This window comes from Homo sapiens, chromosome 5 (assembly GCF_000001405.40).
Source record: "Homo sapiens chromosome 5, GRCh38.p14 Primary Assembly".
Taxonomy (NCBI): domain Eukaryota; kingdom Metazoa; phylum Chordata; class Mammalia; order Primates; family Hominidae; genus Homo; species Homo sapiens.
Window position 1 is genome coordinate 2,640,505 of NC_000005.10, and position 21,730 is coordinate 2,662,234.

At 45.9% G+C, this 21,730-nt stretch overlaps 3 annotated features.

Annotated features, from left to right (window-relative positions):
- Positions 237-755: an enhancer, noted in NCBI's record as "H3K27ac-H3K4me1 hESC enhancer chr5:2640855-2641373 (GRCh37/hg19 assembly coordinates)". NCBI's record gives its function as "activates a minimal SCP1, AML or CMV promoter by ChIP-STARR-seq in primed H9 embryonic stem cells {active_cell/tissue: H9 hESC(primed)}" and the evidence as "EXISTENCE:reporter gene assay evidence [ECO:0000049][PMID:30033119]".
- Positions 15,092-16,291: an enhancer, noted in NCBI's record as "MED14-independent group 3 enhancer chr5:2655710-2656909 (GRCh37/hg19 assembly coordinates)". NCBI's record gives its function as "activates an origin of replication core promoter dependent on BRD2, BRD4, P300/CBP and CDK7 cofactors, and independent of MED14, by STARR-seq in HCT116 cells {active_cell/tissue: HCT116}" and the evidence as "EXISTENCE:reporter gene assay evidence [ECO:0000049][PMID:35650434]".
- Positions 17,533-18,732: an enhancer, noted in NCBI's record as "MED14-independent group 3 enhancer chr5:2658151-2659350 (GRCh37/hg19 assembly coordinates)". NCBI's record gives its function as "activates an origin of replication core promoter dependent on BRD2, BRD4, P300/CBP and CDK7 cofactors, and independent of MED14, by STARR-seq in HCT116 cells {active_cell/tissue: HCT116}" and the evidence as "EXISTENCE:reporter gene assay evidence [ECO:0000049][PMID:35650434]".

A 21,730-nucleotide genomic window follows, 5' to 3' on the forward strand; every position in this document is an offset into this window, starting at 1 on the left:
GGAGTCATAGGTTCCCGTGGGGGCTGTGCCCTGGGTGTAGGGACTGAGTGGGTTTGAGAGGCAGCTGGGACCTCTGCTGTTCTGCAGCACTGCCCCTGCCCTCGCACCTAGGGCTTCCACCCTTGACTGTGGAAAGCCTAGATGTCTCCAGACCTGTCCTCAGGCTGCCACTCCACTCCCAGGCAGCTCAAGGTGGCATCTGTTTCCTGTTCTCAGTGCCAGTCCAGCCCAGTGAGCATGCACCACCTGCCCCAGGTTCAGGTTCACTGCAGAGTGCTCCTCTCCCATGGCCTCCCCATGCACCCTCACCCCTGACATCCAATGCCAGCCCGGGTCCCCAGGCCACTGGGGTTCTTCCCAGGACCTGGCCATGCACAACTCTGGACAGCAGCCAAGGCACAGAACCCGTGGCTCCCACGTGGCTCCTTCTACAGGAACATCCAGCACCCATCGCCACTTGCTGAGGGCTCCCTGAAGGCCCACTCAGAGGCTCCCCCTCCAGCCCTGATCCCTGTCAGCCTAGTCCCTTAGGCCAGTATAGCTCCTCCTGCAAGGAGACAATGCGCCACGCCTTGTTCAGTCCCTAGAGTCACTTTGCACATTGGCATTCAATGAAGATGTGGTTGTTTCTAATGCCTTCAATTAGGAGGCCAACCTTTTCCCAGTGTGGGCCAAGGCACACGGGCTTTGTGCTGCCCAGAGAATCGGGCCTTGCAAGGTGAATGCTGATTTCTGTGTGCTCCAAGTCCGGGAAGGGTTGCCATGAGAAAAATCGGACTGGCTTTTTAGCTGGTGGGCTTCTTAGCTGGTGGGCTTCTTAGTGCTGCTCACGTTTGACTATACTGAGAATCTCAGGTGACTGCAACCATAATGGACCATGAGCCCCTTTTCTGAGGAAAACCCGGTATGAGAAATCCCCTTGTGAAATTTACATTTCTAAAATACTTTCTCACATTATAGCTTCCTTAATTCACTTCACACCCCTGAATAGCCAAGGGTGACAGTGACCTGGATTACAGGCAAAGGCCCTCTGGTCCTGACTCATGGCAGGTGGCACCCCTCTGCCCCTTGAGCTGTCTTGGGTGGGTGACGGAATGGTGGCAGGAGCGTCCCACGGGTTGAAGTGGTGTTTGTGATGCATGGCAACAATGCTTTGTGAAATGCTGTGTCCCCGATTAGACAGCAGCATCTGTTTGGGTGATGTTGGCCTGCTCCGGTTGGAAGCCAGGAGTGGGGTCTGGTCCCAGAAGCAATGGGGCCTGGTGGCCCAGCGCCCACCACCCCTACCCCCTGGACCACCCACCTGGGCCAGCACCTGTTCCTCCCAGCAGACCACCTGGAGAGGTCACTTGCTATGAACAGAACTTGGCCCCCACCACCCCGTGCCTCCCCTTGATGGCTTCACCGTGGCGTCCATCGGACAGGCTCTGCTCAGTCACCAGCTGAACTGGCTGTGATTCTCTCGGAGAGAGCGGCGTGGCCAAAGGTGCGATCTCAGGTCGGTGAGGTCAGTGTCTGAGCCTCTTCTTCACCCTAAAGCCTGGAGGGGCAAGGCGGGGGCAGGGAGCAGTTGTCTTGCAAGGTCTCTAGGGCTTCTCCAACCTGGAGTTCACCCATGTTCTGCTGATACCGGGAGAGCAGCCTACAGGGTCCACCGGGAGCAGTTCTGGAAGGTGGCCTGGGCCAGAGGAGGAAGGTTACATCAACAGTACACAGGAGCCTGGGCTCCTGACATCCTACGGAGAATGCAGAATCACGTGCTGGGCCTGCAGGATGGGTGGAGCTTCCTCAGGACCCCAGTCCCTGCCTGCCATGGAGGGGCCAGAGTGGAAAGGCGTCCCTTGAACGAGAGCCAACACTCATGTGACTTGGTGCTGCAGTGGCTTCCGAGCCATGCAACCTGCGTGGTAGTGTTTAGGTGCCCCGAGGGTGAACTCCTCAGGACAGAGGTGATTCACCCATCAGTGCGTTTCTTCACTGGTGTCCCTCAGGGATGTGAACATTTCGGTCTACCATTGACTACATAAACGGATTCCATCTTGTAAATCTATTCTTTACAGTGATGTGAAAGTGTATATATAAACCAAGACCTCTCATTTGAAATATTACTTTCACTTCAGTAAAATTAGACTTCCCGAACTCTTAAAATCCAACAAATAGAATCACTTAGGCATTAAGTAGAGCTAAAATTAAGAAAGAAGAAAGAAGACCCCATTCCTCAAAGCCTTCCTTTCATTGAACTGCATGATTGCAATGTTTTCCGCAGCGTGTTTGATGTTGACCTCTGCCCAGAGTAGGGTGAGCCCGGCACCTCCCTTGTACTCAACTTGTGAAGCAAACACAGCCCTCGAGGGTGCTGGGTGCTGTCCTCCAGGACGAGGGGGAACGGGAGACTGCAGACTGCTCAGCTCTCCTGTGGAGGTAGAGAGCTAGGCCCTTGAGATGCGGCTCCAAGCACATCACCAGTAAAGAAATGGCCCTCACCACCGCCCTGGATGCCGGCGACGTTCCCAGGGCAAGTGTGTCTTGATGACCAGCTGGGAGTGTCTCTGTCGCTGCGCCCTGTGCCCGCTGCCTGGGGTCTCTGGAGACGCGGCTCCCGCCTCCGCCTCCTTCCCTGCCCAGGAGTCTCCGAGCTTAGGTCAAAGCAAAGGCAGCCGCGGCCACGCACCGCAGAGCGCGGGCTGACCGCTGGGAGAACCATAAACCTCGCAGTGTGATGATCAGCTGAGCAGTAAATTAATTAATCATCATTTTATGCCTCATCAAGCACTTTGCTGAAGCTCTCAACAGGGGCCCTGGGCTGAGCCAATGGGAAGCAGACTGTTTTGTTTAGCTGGGTGAGCCTTCCATAAACAGGGGAGGCTTTGACAAGCTAATAAATATGTCATTCGTTCTCTGCCACTGGCAGCAGCCGGCCCCACCTGCAACGTGGTGGGATTCTGCCCGGCCTGGTGGGCAGTGAGTGATGGCAGAAACGGGCCCAGGGAGGTGGCAATCGGAGGTGCAGGGAGCAGCAGGAAGCTCTCAAAACCTCCTTTCAGCTTTAGGGGAGAAATAGCACACTCTTCTCTCTCTGGCGCCTCACAGTTTACCCCCCAGAAGCGGAGTGATGTCCTGACAATTGTCCTTCAAGTTTGGCCTTTGTATTCATCACTCAGAGGTCTGCATGGGTCTCTTTTCTTCTCCTCGAGCTCCCTGCATTGAGAGTGGATTTATCATATTTTCAGGATGTCCAAGCAAAGCATCAATCCAGGGGTAGATGTCCAATTTCAGGAGGTGCTATGCACAGGTGTCACCTCCTCAGCTACTTGGAAACACATCCTAGCAGCTTCTAAGGAAAAAAGTTTCAAGCTAACCTCAACTCATCTCTCTTGAACAAAAGACGGTGGTGTGGACATCACCATTTTTTAGGAAACTAGGCTTTGCAAAGCTAAATAAAACTGGATATTTGGGTCATAATGCCGATGACTTTTTCATAGGTTTTGCTTTATTTCTTTAAAGCCAAATGCAAAATTCAATACTGTCGAGGCAGGATCTAGCGGCACCAAGAAAATACGAATGGGAGTTCCTCCCAAAGCTCTGATTCGCCGATGAATCTTAACCAGTCTCTTAAGTGAGTTAAAAATGCCCTCAGATATAATTTTTGAACAACAGCCGTATCAGGCATAGATTCAGTTTCTCAACTGCAAATGACACATAAATGGCAGGTCCCATGAGAAGCTGCATCATTCCAGTGCCATTTCCTTCTCAGATAATAAAGGAGACCCTGGAAAACCACAAAACCCTAGTGAAAATGGTATCTTATGTCCAGCTCTTCATCCCTGCACAGTGCTTTCCTCCACGAGTCTACAGAGAACTTCACAAAGGCATCAAACCCTCATCTCCAGTTCTGACTCGCAGTTTACACCACTGAAGATTCAGAACGCTCAAGAACAAAGGGACCTGGCCCTGGTGCTCCTGTAAAAGGTCTTTGGGCTCTGGTCCACAGCCCCCTTCCAGGACAGCAGGCAGAGGCTGACACTGTCCCTAATACAAGTCTGATAGAAACACCAGGACCTTCCCAGTTGCTCTCCTAACTTCCTGTGAGGGCTGTGCAGATGTTGACAGGCTCTGCTTACATGCCTCTGTGTCCAGAATCTCCTAGGCTTTTTGGGACTGACCACAGGAGCCAGATGAGGACCTGCAGTACACCTGACTTAACTTTGCTGTGCCCCTGGACACCGTCCATTCCAACTTCCTCGCAGCGCCTGGTGAAGGGCGGACACTGTGTTCACGGCGACATAAGGCAGGCCAGCATGAGCTCCACCCGCTCTCGTCCCAGCTCCAAATCACCGTCGAGTTATGGAGAGATGGCACCATTTTCCTCTAAAAGAAACCAGGATAGCAGGTCTTGGAACGAGCTCTATGGTTTTCACAGAACAGCTTTCTACTCCTCCACGTCGCATTTGGAACACATGCCCTTCTTTCCATTCTTTATGTGATTTTATTCTAAAGATGAAACCGTGAGACTGCTTTTAAGGGTAGGAATGAACTTGCTCTGTTCTGCACACCAGGCGTGGCCCTCCTGTAGCACTGACACCATATGTGTCATTACATGTGGAAAGTCAAGTTCCAGGATGGATTGTAAGGGCAGGGAGTGCAGACCACGTCTTGTCTCTGCTACCTGTGACCCTGTCCTCCCGGGGGATCAAATGAGGGCCTGGCACATGGCGGGGATGCCACAGAACTGGGTTCCAACAGAGACCCCAGAGGAGCAGGACAACAAGAGTGGGTTGCCTTGGAGTTGATCGCTCTTCTTTAAATGTTTCCTTCCTTTTATATTTTCAATTTTCTTAGTTTTGAAACGTAGTTCATGAGAAAGAAGGAAAAAAGAGAAAGGGAAAAAGGGAGGGAAAAAGCTCAAGTTCAAAGTCAGAGACATTGTCTAATCCTATTTCTATTCTCGCTCTGTCTAGTTTAGTTGCTGGAAGCAATGAGGAAGTCCATGCATGGAGGCAGCATTTCTCACACAAGATTCTCTAGGCTCTTCCATGGGGTGTTCCTAGAAGTCCCCAGCAACGGCCTCCATAGCGGGTCGAGTTTAGGACACTGCTTGCTGGTCTCCATGCTCGAGCCTCACAAGGGGCTGCAGCGCACTGAGCACTGGCATCCCCTTGGAGTGACCAGTGGCTTGGGTTGGACGTTGTTTCTCAAACCTGTTGTCCAGGGTGCCCTTATATTGAGGAACAGCTCAGGGACTGCGTCACCCATGGCACAAAACCTCCTCAGCCGAAGCCGGGGCTTCCGCATGTGCGGTTTCCTCCTCAGATGCGGGGGTCTTTGCATCTCAGGAACTCCCCTCCTCTGCGGCTTTGTCTGCTGCCCCTAGAGTTCTAGTCTCTATCGCTTCAGGGGCCCTGAGAAATTAACACGAAATGCTAAGCCCCACAGCAGCCAACGGAACAGACCCCTCCCGGCCAAAGGGACCCCAAAGAAACCTTGAAAACTGAATTCTGGCCGAGTGCTGTGGCTCACACCTGTAATCTCAGCACTTTGGGAGGCTGAGGCATGCAGATCACCTGAGGTCAAGAGTTCAAGTCCAGCCTGGCCAACATGGTGAAACCCCATCTCTACAAAAATACAAAAATTAGCTGGGCATGGTGGAGAGTGCCTGTAATCCCAGGTACTCGGGAGGCTGAGGAGGGAGAATCACTTGAACCTGGGAGGCAGAGGTGGCAGTGAGCCGAGATGGTGCCACTGCACTCCAGCCTAGGCAACAGAGTGAGACTTCGTCTCAAAAACAAAAACCAACCAAACAAACAAAAAAGAAAACTGAACTCTGGCCATGATGGGATGGGTGGTGGATACGCCTCGTTCTGACCCTCCCTCGCTAACCACCCAGGCTTGGCTTTCTTCCCTAAGGGCAAACAGAACCCAGCCCTGCCAAAATCCTCCACACCTGATATCAACCACCTGCCTGATGCTTCTTCCCCTCTTGGAGATATCAACAAAACAAGCAACCAGGTTCCTTCCTGATGGGAGACCACCGACCCCAGAGTGGTTCTGGCCAGTTTGGGGAGGGTGCTCAGGGAGGGTTTCCATGGCCTCTGCTTCATCTTTTGACTTCAGAGGCCCCAAAACTCCACCCTGGGCTCATGCTAATCCCACCGTGCTTTGAACATGGGTCCCATGGAGAGGCACAGAGCTCAGTTACACATGCACACGCTTCTCCTTCCATGAGTATCCACAACTCCTCCTGCAGCTTATGGAATACGAGTATTTGGCCACCCTGTTCCCACACAGATCCTGTCTGATTCTTCCCTCCCTCCGAGTGCCTGTTCCAGGCTTCTGGACAGAGCCAAGGCTTCCCAGCCTGTGGAATGGCCACCCTGCCAGATACAACCCTTGATGAAAAATAAAATTCTCCTTTCCAACTTAGGAACCTCGTCATTCTTCAGCTGACAGACTTATGGGTTGTGTTATTCACACTTCCTATACATTTTTTTCTAATTAATTTATTTCATGCATTCGAGACAGGAGTAATAGTGACTTGAAGGGACAAAAATTGGTTTATGGGGGCAAAACCCTTACTTTCTCACATATGAAGCATGATACTCAGTGCACATAATACATCGATAGATATATTATATGTCTATAACATCTGTGTGGGCAGCAAGTGAGGGGAAAAGTTTACAAAAGCTCATCGGATAGCAGTGATGAAAAATAAGTTTGAGAAACACTGACTTATTTGTCAAATTATGAACAAAGCATATTTGAACCTACCACTGTAATTGCATCATCTTTGCTTTCTATGGATATAAACGCACATGTTGTGTTTATATTCAGCTGCTTTTTATTTTTAAAAAATGAGAATGCCACAGCTTTTTTGTAGATGGCACCTTTTATCATGATGGAATGTTGCTGTAAGTGCTGTCTGGTGTGCTGGGCCTTTGCGTCCACTGTATTCAGTGGTAACATTTCTACTTCTGGTTTCATTTTGTTTGATTTCAGTGGAATATATTGGCCCATCCCTTCAATCTTCTCTTCAGTGGGATACATTGACCCATGCCTTCAATGTTCTCTTGTTACTTGATCTTGAGGAGTTTCTTGCAAACAACAGAGCTGTATTTTCTTTTATAATCCAATCCACCCCTGAACACTTCAATGTGAGTGTTCAGCCCACTCACCTTCAGCTCCATAACTTGATAACTGATGGGCTGGGCTCTACCCCACCATATTTCATGTTTCCTGTCTGTTGCACCATGTTTTTGCTGCTTCTTCCTCTTCTTAATTTGTAATCTTAGTAAAGTTTCTGTTTATTCTGCTGCTCTGCTGTGACAACCTTAAGTTATGGCCTAGTTAGGAGAGCTGTGCCCATTACCAGGTTAATCTGCCCACCCTGGCCCTTTACCACCTAAATTTATCATTTCTCCAAATTCCTGCATCTCCCACATACCTGGGTTTTGCTAAAGCATTCTTTAATACTTAATTTGCTTGTAAGTTCGAGGAATAAAATACTGTAAGTTTGACGGCTTGAAATTCTATCCTGACTTTTGTCTTTTCGTGTCTTGAGATTTCTGATTCCGTTGTCATTTGATAAGCTACTTCCTGATTATTTTCTTTACACAGAAAACAGGATGACATTCTCTCAAACTCCTCACATGTGCAGAATCATTTACATTTGTCCCGAAAGACGAACCACATCTTGGCTGGGGATGCAAAGTCTCATCTCACCATCGTCTTCTCTGATGCACTGCTACCTTCCAGTTTCTAGTTCTGCGAATGGGGAAACTATACTATAGAGAGTGGTCTGTATCAAATAAATGACACAAGACACTCAGGGATGAATTACCCAGTGAAGTGCCTGGGTAAAGAATTCTACAAGTTTTCTGAGGAAGCAGAAATCAGGCTAGTATGTTAGAATAGGTTTAAGGAGAGGGTAAGATTTAAGCAATTTTTGAGAGAGGGGAGGTGGAGAATTATGCCAGTTAAGTGGGGTCATGTGAGCAAAAGCGGGGATTGTACCTGGCAGGAGGACCCTGTGATGAGCTGCAGGGTGGGATTGGGACCAGGCTGTAGAAGACGAGGCTGGAGAGGCAGTTAGGATCCAGATGCAAGTGGTGTTGCCTGACACGCTTCGAACTTTCCAGCTGAATGCTGTGGCTGAGAGTCACCGATGGCTTTCAGATGGTGAATCACTTGATTAAAGTAGATTTTATTTGCTTTTAGATTTATTTCACTTTATTTTTAAAATTTCACAACTAGATATGGTTATTGTAACAACTGAAACTACTCCATGGTATGTAAAGAAAACATCCACGGTCACCCTTGAGCCTCCCACTGCCCGGTCAGTAACCCCTGCCTGCACCCCTTCCTGCTCTGTCCACACCGCTCAGTGTGGGGCAGACACTCCTGGGAACTGTTTTACTTCAGTAACACGCAAATATAAATGGAGGATTCTGAAATTCCCCCTTTTCCATAGAAAACGTGTTATGGCCACCCTACATACCAATATGTAGAGATTTAAGATACTCTTTTTAATAAAGTCGCATTATATCTTGTAGTATCTATATGCCATTATTATTCAACATCTGAATTAATTTTAAACAACAAACATGTTAATTTTAATAAATTAATATTAGACATGTTAATTTTAAACAAGATGTGTATTATTGCAGACTAGTGATCTTATTTATTTTATTTTATTTCATTTTATTTTATTTTATTTTTACTTTAAGTTCTGGGATACATTTGCAGAATGTGCAGGTTTGTTACATAGGTACACATGTGCCATGGTGGTTTGCTGCACCTATCAATCCATCACCTAGGTTTTAAGCCCCGTATGCATTAGGTATTTGTCCTAATGCTCTCCCTCCGTGTGCCCCCAACCCCCTGACGGGCCCTGGTATGTGATGTTCTCCTCCCTGTGACCACGTATTCTCATGGTTCAACTCCCACTTATGAGTGAGAACATACAGTGCTTGGTTTTCTGTTCCTGTGTTAATTTGCTGAGAATTATGGCTTCCAGCTTCATCCATGTCCCTGCAAAGGACATGATCTCATTCTTTTTGATGGCTGCATAGTATTTCATGGTATGTATGTGCCACATTTTTTTACCCAGTCTATCACTGATGGGCATTTGGGTTGGTTCCATGACTTTGCTATTGTAAATAGTGCTGCAATAAACATACATGTGCATGTGTCTTTATAGTAGAATGATTTACACTTCTTTGGGTGTATACCCAGTAATGGGAATGCTGCGTCAAATGGTATTTCCAGTCCTAGATCCTTGAGGAATCTCCACACTGTCTTCCACAACGGTTAAACTAATTTACACTTCCACCAACAGTGTAAAAGCTTTTCTATTTCTCCACAGCCTCACCAGCATCTATTGTTTCTTGACTTTTTAATAATTGCCATTCTGACTGGTGTGAGATGGTATCTCATTGTGGTTTTGATTTGCATTTCTCTAATGATCAGTGATGTTGAGCGTTTTTTCATATGTTTTTTGGCCACATAAATGTCTTCTTTTGAGAAGTGTCTGTTCATATCCTTCACCCACTTTTTGATGGGATTGTTTTTTTCTTGTATATTTGTTTAAGTTCCTTGTAGATTCTGGATATTAGACTTTTGTCAAATGGGTAGGTTGCAAAAATTTTCTCCCATTCTGTAGGTTGCCTGTTTGATGCTAGTTTGTCTTGCTGTGCAGAAGCTGTTTAGTTTGATTAGATCCCGTTTGTCAATTTTGGCTTTTGTTGCAATTGTTTTTGGTGTTTTAGTCATGAGTGATCTCATTTATATCAAGCAAACTTCTCCAACTGGGAATGCTAGATTATAGGGAGGATGAATTTTAAATTTTAATTACTATTGTTCAATTATATCCCTGAAAGATTGTAGCAATTTTGAGATAGAAACTGTAGGTCCCTGAAAGGGGAACATTGGAGGTGAATGACAATTTGTCTCCTGTACATTTTCATCTCCTGAATGCTTGCTTCTCCAACTATGTTACAAGATCATGATAGCGGAAACTATTTTTAAAATATCATAGCCATGATAATGTGCCACAGGTAATGGAGTCAAAAGATAGATTGAGTGATAGTTATTTGCAGATTTGCTGGAAAGCTAGACCAATCGGCAGGGTCTTAGAGTGCAAGGATTTTTGTCTGCAGGGCTTTCTTAGATCATTATAAATGTATTATTGCATGGATTCAAGAACAATATCGCCACCAATTACTCTTTCTCATATTTCCACTAAAAAATCCACTTAACAGCATGTCCAATAAGCACGGTCATGAAAATGAACAATTATCAGCATATTAAAAACATAGAAGGATATAGGGATAGGCAGACACATAGATGATAGATGATGATAGATAGATGATAGAGAGATAGATAGATAGATAGATAGATAGATAGATAGATGATAGATAGATGATAGAGATAGATGATAGATAGATAGATAGATAGATAGATAGATAGATAGATAGATAATAGATAGACAGATTCAGCTTTTAAGGTAATTTTTTATTGCACAGAGAAATAAAACTGCCATTCGTGTCAGCTGTCCCCAAATAACAATAAATATTTGGTCCACATTTCTTAGCCTATAGCCCAGGCACGAAATTTTTAAATGTCCTTTCCTTATTTGTAACTTAGAAAAGTTATGTTAACTTCCTGAAGTTAAAATCAAGAAAAGAAAACAAATCAGCAATATTTAAACAAACTGGCAAGAAACAAACCACAACGAACCAGAAGTGACCGCTGCTCTAGAATTCTTTGCAAGCTGCAATGGGAGCTGGTGTTTAGAGGCCAAGGAGCCACACCTCTCAGGGAGTCAGAGGACCTCCTGGCTCCAGGCCCACATGTGTGTCCTCAGTAGCGTGGGTGCCTCACACTGATTTTATGTAACTTCTGTCTCCAAAAGCTAGAGAGTGTACTTTCTTTTCAGGAAACATACACAGGTGGTCTATTTTCCAGGCTTTTTCCTCAGAACATTTTCACACATGAAAGATGACGTCTAAAAGACTGAAATCTTGGTGTAAGTCACCTGGGTCTTCACGTGTCAAGTTATTTTTTGACCTCCCGTCAGCTGGAAGCACAGAACCGAAAGCTGAGCTAACTTAACTTCTTATTTTTATTCTTCTAAATGCTTGCAGGTATACATATACATATATATATATATGGTATTTAGTTTTCTGTTTCTTCATTAATTTGCTTAGGATAATGGCCTCCAGCTCCATCCACTTTGCTGAAAAAGATATGATTTTATTCTTTTTTATGGCAGCATACTATTTCATAGTGTATATGTACCACATTTTTGAAAATTTAATTCACCGTTGATGAATACCTGGGTTGATTCCATGTCTTTGCTATTGTGAATAGTGCTGCCTGCAATAAACATATGAATGCAGTCGCCTTTTTGGTAGACAATCTATTTTCCTTTGTGTTTATACCCAATACTGGGATTGCTGGGTTGAACGGTAGTTCTATTTTTAGTTCTTTGAGAAATCTCCAAACTGCCTTCCACAGGGGCTGAACTAAGGTGCATTCCCACCAACAGTGTATATGTGTATATATTGCTGTATATGTATATACACATATACAAATACATATTATATATATGCTTTAAAAAATTGCCAGAGTCCATGTAGGTGTGAGTGTGTCTAGATGGGGACTTCTTTAGTCATTTTGCCTAGAACACTGAAAGCCATTTTAATCCATATAATCTCTTACCATCTGAAAAAGTTATTTTTTCCCCATTGTCTTTTCAGTTACTGCTGTTCTTCTACTTCTTGTAATTTCTTCCTTCGGAGAGCTATGGCTCTTAGGTTGAGCTTTCATTTCCTACTCTCCACATACATCATGCTCTCTTTTTAAATCAGTTTTTTCTCATCATCTATGTTCCCACTTTCTTAGAGACATGCTCCATCTGTACTTTGAAATCTGATTTAACTTTTTAAGGTGTAAATTCTGCTTCTGGTTTCCTCAAGTGCAGGAGATATCTTTTCTCTCAAAATTGTACTTTTTACCATTTCTGACTCATCTGTGTCTTTTAATGCCAGCCTGAAGGACGTTTCATGCCCTCAGTGTCTTCCCATGTCTCAATCTCTGCACTATCTTTCAGAATGCTGCCTCTGCTTCCCAGGGACCGTGCATTCTTACATTTCTTTAAGAATATTAAAAGATATGGGAACATTTTCTTTTAATTCCTGTAGCAGCTCATCTTCTGCTCTTTTTCCCTTGCATTTATCAACCAGCCTTCACTCCATCCACCTGCCCCCTATGCTCTCCTTGACATTGCATTGCATAAGCTGAGTGGGTGGAAAGAGTGACCAGCCCAGGATGTGGAAAACAGAATTTTACCCCACTCAGAAAGGGATGTCTAATCTGTTTTCTTCCAGGTATCCACCCTGGATCTCTTGGCCCTGAGTTAGACAATAGAGAAGGGACAAGCTATGTTCTCATTTTTCCTGGAGTGCTACATTTCCTATATATGGAGACAGATAGATATTGAACAGTTTAAACTGGTTTTGTGGTTGAAATTCACCCAAGAGTCTGTATGTTTTCTTCATCTTCTGTCTCTTCAATAATATTTTAATGTGATAAATCTAGGGAAAGCAAAAGAATAATAATAATATTTTAATGGAAAGTTGGAGAGGGTAAATCAATCTAGTTGAATCTTGGTTTCTTTCCCAGGCTGCCTTGTGATACTTCTTGGTCACTCATACTGAATTATTTTCCAAAATTAAAACCACGTCCAGAAGAGACCACAACTTGCTTTAGGCCATCTGCTTGTGGACATCTGTTTGATGCCCTCGATCCCTAGTCTGAAATTCTCCATGAGCGTCCTCCTACTGAGTTGCGCTTTTTCCTCCTGATAGCAATCAGCACGTTTCCGCTCCCCAGCCTCCCAATCTCTTCCCTCTCATCTAACAAGAGATAGGGGAATCAAAGGAACCACTCAATAGGCTTATCTTCTCTTGCTGTTCCATTTTCCTTCATCGCACATTCAAAGCTCTCCTTCTGGGGCCACTCTTTCTAATCCAGAGACCACTTGTGGCGTAACCAGAAGGGCTCCCATCCATGCTCCTTCTGTGTCTAACCCAATGAAGAGCTGGCTGAACAGACCTCTGGGGGCACTCAGCATCCATTCTCAGCTGCAGATTTTCCACTAGGACACAGAGAGTAATGGCCCCTAAGAAATAAAGACCAGCCCCGTCCCTAACTCTGACAGAGCTCAATAATTTTCCCTGAAGTTGCCTTAAACCAGTGGCTGTCAGCCAGGATGAAAGGATGTATTCACAAGAAAATCAGTGCTCAAATATCAACTCTCTTTGGGTTCTCCTTGAATTTACTACCACCCTACAACTGGACGTCTTCTGAATAACCGAAACATCTCCCTTTGTGTGTAAGGGTGAGTCCTGCTGAGTGATGCGTGGGCACGAGGACCCTACTGGATCCTGTCCCCACAGAGACCAGTCAAAATGCCATGTCTGGATGCAGGCTGAATCTGTCAGGCCAGCTGCCCACGGACTCCCGGGTCCCCCTCGTCTTCCAGGAAAACCTGCCCTCCTGAACTGTCACTCGTGAGACAGTTGCTAAGAAATGATACTGAAGCTAACCTATGAACCTTTCGTAGCAAGTGCTTTCAGCATGTTTTAAACAGAATGCAAAGGGCTTTTATCAGAGATTTATGCAGCTGGTTGATAAGCAGTTCTACCACAAAAACGCCCACCAGTAATTGCAGCCAGCAGAATAGTCTGGGGCACAATGCTATGGCAACTCCCAGCCTAAAACCTCAGTGGATTTAAACAACCGAGTTTTCTTTCTAAAGCATTGGTACTACTTGTACAAGGTGTGTAGGTGAGGGGTGAGGGGGATGGATACAACCTCTGCTCATCCTGGTCACCCAGGAGCCTGGGCTGACGGAGGCCCCACCTCTGCACATGCTCCCTGGGATGCAGGCAGGGAGGCTGTGGCCCCCACACACCAGCTCTTAGAATGTCCACGTGGAAGCAACGTACACCACCTCCACTGGAATCTCCCAACCAGCGCAAGTCCCCTGTACACCCCTGGCTTCCGAGAGACGGGAAGTGAAGTCCCACAGGAGTTCCCAAAGAGAGGAACTGGAATACTTACTGTGAACTGTTCGATGGCTCCAGAAGCAATCAAACCACAGTCCCTGGTAGAATGATTGCCATTGTCAGAATAGACACATGAGAGAAAAAGAGGTCACCAGTGAGAAAAGCTACAAAGAGTGTTAGAGCCCTCAGCAAAGGACAGTGAAAAAAAACCCCATTATCAGAAAAAGATGTCTATCTCACTCCATTATTATCAAAATTAAACTTCCCATAACTTTTGATTTGCTGCTGCTTGATAGTAACCTGTGGTTTCAGGCATCTAACCATGTTGTTGTTTTTGCCTTTTGATTTGTTTGGTGCGAAACATTTTTGCAAAATGTAACTTTCCAGAAGTTGAATAGGCGCCCTGTTCCCTGGCTCCACTCATCCAACTGCGCTGTCCTAAGTGGACCTTCAGAAACACTAACTAGCGTGTTTTAATTACAGGATTTAAGAGATAGGCACTGGAAATCTGTTACTCTGCTAGTTAGTGGGAGTATCAGATTAATGGAATGTGATAAGTAATTTGTATTCTATAAGGGTTTTATTTTAAGGACTTATTTAAGAAGCTATTGTGTTCACGTGATATGATCAGATCTAATATATATATTTTTTAATTTTTATAGAGATGAACAAATTATGGGCAAAAATATCGCATAGACTGTGTGTCCCACACACCAACCAAGAGAGCGTCTGAAATGAGAATGTGGGTGATCACTGCCTCTCACCCTGTTCCAGCCAGGGCATCCACAGCTTTAAACACTGGTCTTGATGGGATGCAGAGAGGAGGAAAGGGTATTTTCAGGCCAGGGTAACTGGGAAGGACTTAGATTTATAGGGACAAGATTACTGGCTTCAATGGTGAATTATACCACTGAGAACCTGGAAACTTTATGGAATTAATTTCTCTGTTGTTTTAGAGATGACTGCTTATATTTACCAAAGCCTGGAGGCACTTTCAGTTCTACTAGGTAATTCTTTAAAGAATAAAACTACTTTTTGTCATTCTGTAAATCTCAAGAGGAGTGTCTCCTCTTTTTTTATTGTTTAAGCCACTGGGTTGAAGAATTTTCCTTCAAAACCTGATTATTCTTTTCTTAAAAATGCTCCCTCTGTAAGTAGGTGAAAGGAGATGAGAGCAGGACTTTACTCCAATTTTCAGGACAAGGTGGGAAAATTTTGCCTTTAAACAAAGTTTAAAAACAGGAATTAAACAGATGATATGTCGGAGGACACGTTCGAGAAAGCTGCAAGTCTAAGGAAGAAATCAGAAGGTGATCCCTTGAACACTGCAGTTTGGAAGGAGAGATGATGGTCTTCAGGGAAGTCTGAAGTTTACCCTGCAATGGAGGCTCTCCTTGTGATCCAGCTGAAAGTGTGGTCTTAATGAGGGCAAAAGACTTAAAAGGAGACCCAGCCAAGAATTCTGAGCCAGCCAGGAAACGATAATGCTATAATTTCTGACAGTGTGACAAGTGGCAACCCTCCCTTTTTTGAGCAGCTACAAAAATAGAAATTGCGGTACTTGCCTTCCAAGACCTCAGAGGTGTTGGCTAATGGATTGCTGTTAACAGATGCCACGCAAAGACGTAGAGCCTCAATGGACTTGGTCTGATTTTTGGCCCGGGATGTTTTTACGTTGAAGCAGAACTCAGCTGGATGAGACTCTATGCAAACAAGACCTGTCGGAAGGCGTCGGCAAAGTCTGTGCCAAGTGCAGCCCACGGCTTTCCTGGCTTTCCCGAGGTCATTATCACCCCCGGCCAGCCTTCGGGAATTTTCCCAAACCCAGAGACTCTGACTCATTTCCTTTTTGAAGCTCATTCCTCCATTCATGTCAATACGAGATGAACTGCAAACTTCATGTCCTGTCCCCATGGAGAAATGTGGAAGAGCAGGGATCTGCAACCTTCAGTTCTCCCTCCACACCCAGGACTCATTTCACAGGCATTTCAGTTCATTTCTCAGAGGGCGAAGTGACTGATGCTAGTTCCTTAGGAAGACCACAGGGGAAAAACAGTGGGGGGGAAATAAGGAAAGAATGCCAATGCCTTGTACTATGGCATCCTTAAAAAATCTTAAATCCCAGTTCTACTCCAGATGAACATATCACCAAGCAGATAAGGTGAACAGACAATATGGGATGCTTATTTCATAGACGAGGAAACCGGGACATGAAAAGGTGATGAGGACACTTACATCTGTGCCCCACTCAAATACAAAGTCAGTTGAGGGAGATTAAATGTCCCTGTGTGGCATTGTTATTTATCCGTGCTGCTGATGCTGTGCAGACGTGATACTAGAAAAATGGGGACTGACTTCAGTTCATTGTTGTTGCCCTTGCCGTTGTTAATTTGCCTTAAAACAGGGACTGGAAATGCCGGGAAGCTCTCACGAGGCCACCAGGCTGGCTCACCCAGGCAGGGGGCTTTGGTCCTGGCGGCCAGGCAGCCCCTTCCTGTGGTGACTCCCGGGCGGCCCCTTCCCGTGGTGACTCCCAGGCGGTCCCTCCTATGGTGGCTCCCAGATGACCGTCCTGATGGCGTTTCTGTGCTTCATCCTCCTTGTCACCAGTAGAATCCACTCCATCCCCATCAGGGGCCCTCCCCAGGTAGATAGAAGGAGCGGAGGCAGGAGCCGGTGGGGAATGAACGCACTGGAAGAAGCAGGTCTACCCGCCATGAGGGGTAAAGGGTTGGCAGCAGGAGCCCCGTGCCCAACGAAGGGACGTGAGAAACAAGTGTGTCCAAGGACCACAAGAGATCCAGCACCTGGCGGGTGTGGCCCGGCTGCAGGTCTGTGAGGCCAAAGCCTAAGTTATGGCAGCCAGCGCAGCCCTCAAGTGGACAGGCTTGTGGTGTGCGTCTGAAGGGACAATGGGTGTGCTCGGGTGCCGCTGAGGGAGCAGAGGTGAAAACCAGGCCTGACCCCAAATGGAGTGTGTCTTCCCAGCTTTGCCATGGGAGCGAGAGGGAGCAGTGACTTTTCCTTAGAGCCTGTCCAGTGATTGCACAGCGTCTTCCTCCTGAAGGGCTGGCAGGGAAGGAGCACTTCTGGAGGATGGAGGAGGAGAAAGTTTTCCTCACCCACCCCCAGCAGGTAGCAGGGCCATTGAAAATCGTGGTTTTAAGTTCATCCTCCCATGCAAACAACATTATCTGATTGCCACGCTCTGTATTTCACCAAAGGTGGCTTCATGGCCTCTGGAATGTGGCTCTCTGCAAGGCACATGGGTCAAGTAAAAGTTGAATCTAAGTTTATTTGTTTCAGCTAACTTATGGCAGCCTTTGGCCACAGTCCATCACATTCCCAGTGGAAAGGAAGCAAAGACCACTTTTGAGACTTTGGTAGCATTCGTTTACGTTCGAGATGTTTCTCTCAGGGACGCCTTGTGCCATTCCCCATGGCCCTGGCGGGGACGTTATGTATCTCATTTTGGAGGTCAGTGAAACTGAGCAAGAGGGAGACCAGGGCCCCTCCAGGACCTCCCAGTGGAGCTGGGCCTTCCCGAAGCCTCAGCACACGGCCCCTGTCTCCCCACCCTGGCCTTGTCTGGGCTGCACTGTGGACACCAACCAAAGTTCCCCAATCATCCCAAGCTTAGCTGAGCCCCCCCAAAACCATGAGTGATCCCCATCTCTGAGGCACCCCCCGTCAGGGGCCTTGGCAAGCGGGATCCTTGTCATGAAACTCCTCACATGGAGGACAGATGCAAGAAAACAATGAACTGATTTATTGGGCTAAAATTCAATTTCCCTCTGCTTCATTGATTTTGTACTTGTTATAATTACGGAAAATTCTTTTAAACAGCCTATAAAAAGATGCTGTTTCATCTGAGTGGGTTCAGGGTCCTATTTGGAGCCACTGGCAATCAGCTATTCTGCTCCTAGCCCCATCCCACGGGCCGGTGGTAGGAAGAACACGTCATACCGCCCCCGCTCACACTGACGTGCAGCTCACATACCCTCCGCATGCCGTGTTAACTGACTTACCTTCCCTGGATCACCTCCAGACTTCCAAATTTAGCAATCCTCAACTTAAGCACAGCTTCTTAGAGTTGTAGCCATACCTTAATGATGCAAAAAAAAAAAAAAGGCAGCCCATTAAACATAATCAGATGCCTATCTGCAGCCTGAGCTATGTAGCTGACAGCTTAGAATGAAAGAAGATACATGACTCTCAACAAGATGTGCACACAAAGCACGCTTGTTACGGTTCCTTACAAACAGGGACAGCCGATTACATCTTTCCAATAAACCCGAGTTTCATCGCCGAACTGCCACACAACGCGAAACACCCGACCCTCTCTAATAACTGGGCTAATGAAGAGGCGTCCGGGTGGCAGGAGGGGCCAGGAACGGAATATCAGAGATGCGCAGGTCACAGCCGAGGTTGCAGGCAGAGCTGAGACAGCTGGTTTAATCTAATCTCTTATCCCTATGTGTTTTTTAGGAACACTAAATTGAACCCAGATTTTACAGGATGAAAATCACATTCACCACTTAACGGAGCGACTTGGAACTTGGGTGTGTCTTCCGTGGCTCCCCAGCCTCTTTCTTTTCTGAAAATATTACGACTGTTGGGAACTCAGTTCCATCTTCATCTTTCCCATCAGTATGGGTGGGGCGGGTGCAGCTGGGAAGCTTAGCTCCCAGGGTGGAAAGCTAGGCGCGCTTCTTACCAATGATCCAAGCAGCCGCCTGGGACTGGCTTGTCAGAATTAATTGTTGTCTAGAATGTTATTAGTCGAAACACTAAATTTGCTCTTAGGGTAAAGTTCCTTCTTAATGAACTGCAATTCTTGCTCAACTCCCCCTCCCCCGGGCATTTCTCATCAATGTGATAACATCAGCCCAGGTGCTGTAACAGTCTTTAAAAATCGTAAATCTTAACCTGTCACTGAAGAGAAGGGGAGAAGAAAGGTTAAACAAGTTTCTGGAAGACGCTTTCCCAGGTGTTATTTTGCAAGTAGAGGGCTAATTGATGGTTCTGCCATCATAGTTACAACTGATAACCATCATGTAAACACTCCCTACTCTCCAAGGGAACATTCTCAGGTTGTCCCAGGGGTGCACCCCACCCCACCCCCACCCCGCCGGATGTAGTGGTCTCCCTCACACGCAGACACACAGACAGCACCTCTGGATGTCCTGATGGCTTTGAAGTGTCCAGTGCTAGCATCTGATAGGATTCCAAGGTAAAGGAACATCCACACTATCAACAGAAATCTTTATTTATTTGTTAATATTTATTTATTATTTATTCATTTATTTGAGATGGAATCTCGCTCTGTCACTCAGACTGGAGGGCAGTGGAACAATCTCAGCTCACTGCAACCTCCACCTCCCAGGTTCAAGTGATTCTCTTGCCTCAGCCTCTGGAGTAGCTGGGATTACAGGTATGCGCCATCACACCCAACTAATTTTTGTATTTTTAGTAGAGATGGGGTTTCTCCATATTGGCCAGGCTGGTCTCGAACTCCTGACCCCAGGTGATCCACCCACTTCAGCCTCCCGAAGTGCTGGGATTACAGGCGTGAGTGGCCTCGCCTGGCCTATAAACAAATCTAAGTGGCCGAAATTAAGTAAAGCATTCATCTCCTGTGTGCAGTGCCAAGATCACACCTAGGGACGGCAGCTCTCTCAGAAACAACATGTCTATTAGGAAACAACCTGGAGGAACCCCAGTTTACTCTTAGGACATCTCATCTCTCCTCATCCCAAGTTAGCTTCTAAAAGGGCTTAAGATCTGTTTCTTTCTGGTTTTAAGGCTAATAAATCTTTTTGCAAGATGTAAAAGGAAAGGAAAGCTTTTCCATGGCCACGTCCTGGAAGCAGAGAAAAGAATTTAACTTGCAGCTTCTCATCTCGTTTTCCAGCCTTCCCCTCACACAGCCTGGGGCCGTGCACTCGGACCGTGGGTAATGTAATTGGATTCCGGGGCTGAGGGTGGGAGAGGAGCGATAAAGCTGGGTGAGAATCTTCACACAAAAGCACACAGCCCATTTACATTTTCATTGGTTTCACAAAACGAAAATATAGAGCCAGTAGAGTTTTTCTAATTTTTGCCATCATTGAAAAATTAGCATTTGCCTTCATTAAGACCACTGTGATTATATCCCTGTGATATGGTTCCTAACACAGGAGGCTGGAGCACCAAGAAAATAAAAATTAAAGATGGTAATAACATTTTCATTTTCTCCTTTATATTTTTGTAACCTGGTTTTAACTGCATTTAGCTGCATTTGCTTGGGGATTTTTTTCTTATAAAAATAGCATTATGTGTGACATTCAGACTTCCATAAAAAATGATTAAAACCACAGGGTCTTTGATGATATGTATTTGAAATCTATAAATAACACCAACATAAATAGCTCCTGAAGCAACAATGGGTAGACGTAAGTCATGTCAGATTTCACTCACCGTTCAGCTAAATTGTTTTTCTGTTTTACCATTTGTAAACTAAGGAGTAAATAATTGCCTATTTCAATAAGATGGGAATATCTGCAACCTTGATCTAAGTGTAGTGCAATGCTCGACCCAGAACAATCCACCATCTTTCCAAGAAGGCATAGGACTTGCTGTGACCAGGCCCGGCTCCCCCATGTAGGGAAACCAGGGTAATTCTTGAACTTTAGAGTGAGAAAGAAAAAAAAATACATTTGGATAATATGTATTCCTGTAGCCCTCACTGTCTCTCATTTTGTCTCTGGAATTCATTCTCCATTTATCACATGGATCTCCTCATTGTAAGCATAAGGCCTCCTCCTGAAAAGTCATGATTAAAAGTTTTAATTTTAAAAAAGTAGTTGACTCAGCCGGGCGTGGTGGCTCAAGCCTGTAATCCCAGCACTTTGGGAGGCCGAGGCAGGTGGATCACGAGGTCAGGAGATGGGACCATCCTGGCTAGCATGGTGAAACCCCGTCTCTACTAAAAATACAAAAAAAAAATTAGCCGGGCTTGGTAGTGGGCACCTGTAGTCCCAGCTACTCAGGAGGCTGAGGCAGGAGAATGGCATGAACCCTGGAGGCGGAGCTTGCAGTGAGCCAAGATCGTGCCACTGCACTCCAGCCTGGGCAACAGAGCAAGACTCCTTCTCAAACAAACAACAACACCACCAAAAAAAAGGTGACTCTTGTCTTGGTGTTCTCATCTTCTCAAGAGCAGAGTGCTGTGTACACACACCAACTATTTTTACGAAATCAACCTCCATGTGGAATGATTCGCTAACAGAGTGAGCTCAAAGGTAAGAACTGAAAACAATTACACGACCAGTCTCAGGAAATGTTGAGGTCAGTTCTCAGCAGATCTGCAAGGCGAGGCCACTGAAGTCCTTAGAAGCTTACAATTGGAAATGAACCCTGTGCAATCTTCGAGATTCTCTCCTTACAAAAGCACAATAAAAACCCACGGCCAAAGGGATTTGGCAAAATGTAAGCTTTCTCTAGTAAACAGTGTATATGATAAAGTGAACTGATGCTGAAGAGATGGCCAGATCTTTGGGGTGGAAGGAGGATCATGTCCTAAACGTGGAGGGACAATTTTCACTTGAATAAATGGTTTGTGAACAATCGTCTTCAGTGCATTAGGCCCAATGTGGTTTTGAGGCTTCTTACGCTTACTGCTT